The 7,822-nt window shown below is 32.3% G+C and overlaps 1 pseudogene; it reads left to right on the top strand.

Annotated features, from left to right (window-relative positions):
• RNU6-679P (RNA, U6 small nuclear 679, pseudogene) lies at nucleotides 1,567–1,672 on the top strand (annotated as a pseudogene).

The raw sequence follows: 7,822 nt of genomic DNA, 5'->3' as shown, positions 1-7,822 counted from the left end.
CTGGGTGCTTCACTTCCCTCTCTATGCTGTTACCCTAAGTTAGTGTACTCCAGAGAATCTTGTCACTTTCTTGCTGAATTCTTGTGTTCTGCAATTTACTCTGCTTTTAGCCACTCTACTTGAAGTGCAGTTATGTATTTCCTGTTTTTGGTCCTTTTTTGAGTAAAAGAGAAGCATTGAATAACTCTACTCAGGTATCTTGATCTTCATACATTTTAATCTGCAGTATTATTATTGTGCTTTAAATATTGCATAATCTATTTTAATTTCTTCTTTAACACATAAGATTTGTGGAAGTTTTTTCAAAATAATTTTGATTTACTCATCAGTGAAATTTTTCTTTTACTATGGTTTTGCAATCATTTTATTGGTATTTTCAAATTCATTGATCCAATGGCATATTCAATATTAAGTAAATTCATTGAAATTTTAATACTTCTATTATAGCGCATGAGTTTTGTCTGCTTAAAAATGAATTTTAAATTATTATGTAGAATGATATAATTATAAATGTGAAAAGGGATCATAAGGATCCCATACACAATAGCACTTCTTTTTCCCACTACCATAATTTCAGCCAGTTAAGAGGTAGTCACTACAGACAGGCAAGTAGAGACAAAAAGCTAGTTTATAATTGTTAAATTGACCATGAGAAATGTGACTTAGTTGTCCTTGGCAATGGCTTACTAGTATATGACTCCTGAATTAGGCAGACTTACACAGGTAGAATCACTGGCAATGCTGCTTTACTGTGAGGGCTTCACTCAACCAGTATGGCATAAAGGAGGGCAATGGAGCAGAGTGTAGAATCTCTAAATGCAGATAGATCCTTAAAAGGTGAGGAAGGCTGCTCGGTTTTCCCTCCCAATCTCTTAAACTTATATGTCTCTCTGCCTCGGAAAATGAAAATATATGAAGGAGGGATATAGTAGCCAGAGGAATCCCTTCTAGCAAATGCAATGGAGATTGCTTATTTTAACTGTGTTCAAATAACACAGTTACAATAATTCAAATAATGTAACATAATATTCAAAATATCATGTAGTCTGTTTTTCATTTACTGTTACAAAATTTTCTGAAAGAAATGAGATAGTGCACTATTATTGTGGCTTGAAATATGTTGAATTTTGCTTTATATGTTTTGCATTCTAACTGCAGATACATATGAATTCATGACTGCTATAGCTTTTTGTTGGATTTTCACATTTATTTTTGTGAAGTATCCAGAACAGGATTTCATATTACATTCAGTTCTCACATTTTTTAATCTTTTAAGATAAACTAGGTATTCAGTCTGTCTTTGCCTTTTATAAAGGATGTAATCCATTATTTTACACAATATTTGCCTTCATTTTTATACTTTTTAAAAAGGTTTAGAATTCTAGGTTAGCCAATATTTTCTTTTATCACTTTAAATGTATTTTGTCCTGGCTTTAATCATTTTTGAGAAGTCAGCAATCGATCTTATTTTTAATCTTTGAAGTTAATGAATAAGCTTTTTCTTGGATAATTTTGGAGTTTTCCATTTCTTTTAGGTTTCTATCATCTAAAATGTATGTATGATGCTTGCTTCCTTTAGCGGCACATATATTAAATTGGACTGATACAGAGACGAATAGTGTGGCCCCTATGCAAGGATAACATACAAATTTGTAAACTGTTCCATATTTTTGCTATTAGAAAACATTATGAGCAACTATAACCCAACAAACCAGATTACCTAGAAAAATGGATAAATTCCTGGACACGTATTGAATATCAGAGAAGTAGAAAACCTGGAAAGACCAATATCACATAATAGAATTGAGTTAAAAATTTAAAAATCTCCCATCAAAGAAACGCCCAAGACCTGATGTCTTCACTGCTGAATTCTACCAAACATTTAAAGAAGAACCAGTGTCAATTCTTCTCAAACTATTCCAAAAAAATGAAATGGGAGAAAATTCTTTCAAGCTCATTCTTCAAGATGTGCATTATCCTGACACCAAAACATACAGCAAAGCAAATAAAACAGCACATCAACAATATTATTTAACCATAATCAAGTGGGACTTATTCCAGCATTCCGAAGATACTTCAACATATGCAAATCAATAAATGAGATACATTTCATCAACAGAATGAAGAAGAAACCCATATTATAATTTCAATAGATGTAGGAATAGTGTTTGATAAAATTTAACATCCTTTTATTAGAAAAACTTTCAACAAATTAGATATAGAAGGAATTTACCTCAACACAACAAAGGCCATATATGGCAAACCCACAGTTAACATCATACTGAATGGGAAACAGGTGAAAACTTTTCTTCTAAATCCTGAAACAAGACAAGGATGTCCACTGCTACTATTCTACATACTACTGGAAGTCCTAGCCAGAGCAATTAGGTAAGAGAAATAAATTAGGGATATTTATATTGGAAAGGAGGAGGTAAAATTGTCTCTATTTGCAGAGAGCATGATTGAATATAAAGAAAAGCCTAATGACACCACCAAAACAATGTTAGAATTAATAAATAAAGTCAATAAACTCACAGGATACAAAATCAATATACGGAAATTATTAGCATTTCTATATGCCAACATGAACTACCTGAATAAGAAATCAAGAAAGCAACCCCATTTATAATAGTTACAAAAATACAAAATATCCTGGAATAATTTAACCAATGAGAACATCTCTACAATGAAAACTATAAAATGTTGATAAAACAAATTGAAGAAAACACAAATAAATATTAACATATTTCGTGTTTATGCATTGGAAGAATTAATATTGTTAAAATGTCCATGTGATCTAAAGTTACCTACAGATTCAATGCAAACCCTATCAAATTACCAAAGCTAATTTTTATATATTTTTATTTTTATATATACAGAAAAAAAATCTTAAAATTTGCATGGAATAACGAAAGTCCCACACATAACCAAAGCCATCCTGATCAAAAAGCACAAAGTTGGAGGCATCAAACTACCTGACTTCAAAATATACTACAAAACTATTTCAACTAAAACTTCATGGTATTGGCATAAAAACAGACACACAGACTAATGGAACAGAATAGAGAATCCAGAAATAAATCCACACATTCACAGACAACAGCATTTCAAAAAAGGCACCAAGAACACACATAGGGAAATGTTAGTCTTTTCAATAAGTGGTTCTGGGGGAAACTGGATATCCACATAAAAAAGAGTGGAACTAGACCATTCTCTCTCACCAGTGACAAAAACTAACTTAAAATTAATTAAATTCCTAAATGTAAGACTCCAAACTATAAAACTACCAGAAGAAAACCTAGAAACCTAGAGGAAAGGCTTCATGGCATTGGTCTTGGCAAAGAATTTTTTTAATAAGAACTCAAAAGCCCAGGAAACAAAATAATAAATAGACAAATGAAAATACATTAAACAGAAATGTTACTGCACAGCCAAAGAACCAAGCAACAGAGTGAAGAGACGACCTACAGAATAAAAAAAAAAAAATTGCAAACTACACAGCTGACAAGGGGATAATATTCAGAATATGTAAGGAACTCAAACAACTCAATATAAAAAATATAATCTAATTTACAAATGGGTAAATGATCTGAATAGACATTTCTCAGAAGAAGACATACAACTGGCCAAGAGGTATATGAAAAAAATGCTCAGTATCACTAATCATTAGGAAAATATAAATCAAAACATCAGTTAAATATCATCTCATCCCACGTATAAAAGCTATTGTCAAAAAGAAAAATGGTAACAAATGCTGGCGAAGATATGAATTAAAGGAAACCTACCCACTATTGATGGGAATGCAAACTTGTGTAGCCATTATGGAAAACAGTATAGATGTTTCTCAGAAAGTAAAAATATGACTACCGTAACATCCAGTAATCCCACTACTGGGTATATATCCAAAGGAACTGATATCAGTTTTTAAAAGAGATGTGTACACTCTCGTGTTGTTGCAACACTATTCAAAATACCCAAGATAGGGAATTAACCTAAGTGTCCATGAATGGATGAATGAATAAAGAAAATGTGGTATATTTACACAATGAAATACTGTTCAGCTTTAAAAAAGAATGAAATCTTGTCACTTTTTACAGGTTAGATGAGTCTGGAGGACATTATGTTAAGTGAAATAAGCCAAGCACAGAAGGACAAATACTGCATTACCTCACTCATACATGAAATCTAAAAAAGTTTATCTCATAAAACTAAACAGTAGAATAGTATTGTGGGATCTGGCCAGCAGCCCACAATGCAGTGGGGGTCTCTCTTTGTTCCCAGGCGGATCAGCAGGTCAAGAAATAATAGACACACACAAGATAGTGAAAGCTGGGTCCAGGGGGGTCACTGCCTTCTGGTCCCACAGTGCCAACGATGCACTGGATATACCAGCATTTATTATTAAGTTTAGTGAGGGCGAGGGTAGATTAGTGAGGGATTTAGGGTCATTTGATTATGAGGTGTGATGGTCACATGGGGATGAAGTAATTCTTTAACATAACATCTGTATGCAGAAGTACGGTATACAGAGGTAAGAATTTACAATATAGTGTGTGCATCAGTAATTTCTAACAGAGCTTTAAAACAGAAACACCGTCTTTCCATAACCTATGATTAGCAAGATATTAATCAGCAGAAACAGTTGCAGCAAAAGCTGGTTACAAACAATCCATAGAAACAGGACGTGAAGCTAGACAACCGGTTTGACCAGAAATTCTTAACCCTAGGCCTTAACCCTAAAGAGGCCTAGAAGAGCTGTGGCAAGATGAGGGCATCTATAGCCCTGTCTTATCCATATGGACAGGCACCCCTCATGCGTCCATTTTCTTTTCATATCTCTTACAACTTACCTAATATCTCTAATGTTTTCTTTTTATATTTCAGTGTTTTATTGTGTGATTTCTTCACATCAGTTTTCCAATTCACTGAGTGTCTATTTAACAGTGTTTATTAGTTGATTCATATAACATATTTATTTCAAATATTAAATTCTCACATCTAGGGATTACTGTATGACTACTTTTCAATTTCCTTTTAATAATAGTTTCCTATACAAATAATGTTTAGACCTATTTCAATGTTTTTCATAATTATTTCATCTTATTTTTGAGGCATGAAATATCCTAGGCTGTTGCATTCTATATGTCATAGCTGTGGATTCTTTTAGATGCTTTATACTTTCAGCAAGAGCATCCATGGTAATTGCACTTGTCTGTCTTATGGTGTAATCCCTATGAATTAGATTTGCAGTGAACTCTGACCAAGTCCACAAGCTTACCAAGCTGATTTTTGTTTTGTTTTTGTTTTTGTTCAGTAATTGTTATATTTTGTTTGGGCTAGAAAGTGGGATTCAATTTAAAAGAATCTTTAGTAACTTAGAAGTAATATTTCAACACACAGCAATCAGTTAGGAAAAGTTATTTCTTACTTCAAATATTATACTGTCATTTCCAGGATTTTCGTATAATTATTTTCAAGTTTTCTTTCTTTTATTTTATAAATAAACTCATCTTATACAAATGATGATTTAATTATTTCATAGACTGTTTATATTGCACTGTTATATCTTCTTTCTTGGATATGAAATTCCCTTGTTTGATATATGCAAGGCTAACTGTGCTTTAATTGCTAGTAAATTCTTCCATGATCTAGTAGCAATATTTCAATAAATATCAAAATATACAATTGTTGGGCAACAAACAACATATATGCATCTATTAATTTATTTTTACATGTATACAGTAAAATTACACTTTCTAGTGTACATTCTGTAGGTTTAGACAAAACTATAGTTGTATACTCACCACCACAATTAGAATACAGACGTTTCGTTATCTCCAGAATTTCTTTCCTTCCACTTTCATCCTCTGGGCACCAAATCTGTTCTCTGTACCAATTAGTTTGCTTTTCCAGAATGCTATGTTATTGGAATAACTCTACATGACATTTAAAAGATGATTTTTTGAAAACAAACAAGTACTTTTTTCTTTGACAATTAAAGAATTCCTCCTCACGTCTTCAAATTAATCAATACATTATTTTTTAATAACAAATGAAATTACAGAATTTCAAATGATAGAACCATTTAGAAAGGTGCTTGTAAAAAATTTTTTGTAGTTTTCAACATGAAATAGCGTCAAATAATAATTAAATTAAACCTCATCAAAATAGCTCTCTTGACCATCTGCTTGGGAAATCTCTTCCAGAGTTGTTTCAAGTCTGTAGAAATGAATAACACTGCCTTACTGCCCCCTAGTGTTTGAAGTTTATGGATACCCCAGCAGAGTTAAGGAAACATCGCTGTTATACTTTGCCAGGTGTTCTGGCACACTCTTATTTTACATCTGGGATGATTGGTAGTGACGAAACGCATAAAATCTCATGACAATAAATATCGAGGCATATGATACATAAGGCAAAAATCACTAGTATAATACCCAAGTCAGGTGGAAATGTGCTTTGCTAATTCCAGTCTGTTTCCCAGGTGGAGAAATCATTAGGAGAGGGGAAAAGGATAACACACACCACTAACCTCCAATATTGTCCAGAGTTTTCAAGGCATGGTTATAGAGCTGTAATTAATTCATAGCATAAGAAGGATATCTAACATTACGAGCAACATTCTAGACAAGCTGGACAAAGAGATTTTCTGTGTTAGTTCGGATCTTCTGAGAAGCACACACCAAAATAGGATTCAAGATGCAAGAAATTTACTAGAGAAATGTGCAAAGTGATTGGAATGGTGTGTGACATGTTTTAAGTTCTATATATGTGTTTGCTGTATTAAAATATTCCATCGATGAATATCTTAGTGGCTTCCAAAGTTTCTCTACCATTAGTAGGTTTGTCAGATTTAGCAAATAACATACAGGATTCTTGTTAAATTAGAACTTCAGATTAGCAAAGAAGAAATTTTAGTAAAAGTATGTCCCATGCAATATTTTTTTCTGAAATTAAAAGAAACTACAAATATGTTAATGGCGTTCTGCTAGTCATAAATGAATGCAATTATGTACAAGAACAAGATTCTTTTGAGTAAATGACAGATTTGATTCCAAGGCATAATCAGAGATTTTTTTAATCAGTCATATCACCATTCATAGTTTCACTGTGTGTGTGAGTGTGTTTGTGTTTGTGTTTCAGACGAATCAAAGTAAAAATGCTTTAAGTGATGAAATGCAGATACACTACTGGGTATAAGATACCAAATAATACTTATATCTCATAAAAACAAACCAACACATTTTGTCTCTAGTATTTAATTTGTTTCTAATTTTCATACAAATGTAAAACTGAAAATTCACAGTTAACTGCTATAATCTCAATAACTTGCAATAAAATGTGTTTAAAAGGCTGAAACATTGACAGGTGCCTATGATTTAACATGATAATTTGCCTAGATTTTCAAGCATTTCATTGTATATTAAAAACCAAAGTGCTGATCAGAACAGGCTTTGATATCATTTGAAATTGAGTTTCTAACTTTAGCTTTGAATCTTGAAAGAGCCTGGTAGGTCTCAATGCACAAAGAGAGTAATTAGACATATTGAGAGGTGAGAATCTTTGCAAAAGCCTCACTTTTGAAAACCCAGAAATATTTTAAGGAGTGCCATTGGGATTTCTTTCAAAATGTATATGATAATTCATCTGCAAAGTGTTGAAAATGAAAGGTTTACCAAAAGTTGATGTTATATCTATATCCTATAGTCTGGATCCATGATATCAAGGCACACAGTCAGCTTCTATCTACTTGTTTTCATTTGTTTATTTGGTTGCATGCAGAGTACTTATTAAATTTAATCTTGATACTACAGATCCACGC

This window comes from Homo sapiens, chromosome 5, assembly GCF_000001405.40.
Source record: "Homo sapiens chromosome 5, GRCh38.p14 Primary Assembly".
Lineage (NCBI taxonomy): Eukaryota > Metazoa > Chordata > Mammalia > Primates > Hominidae > Homo > Homo sapiens.
This window is presented reverse-complemented; position numbering and strand designations above follow the sequence as displayed.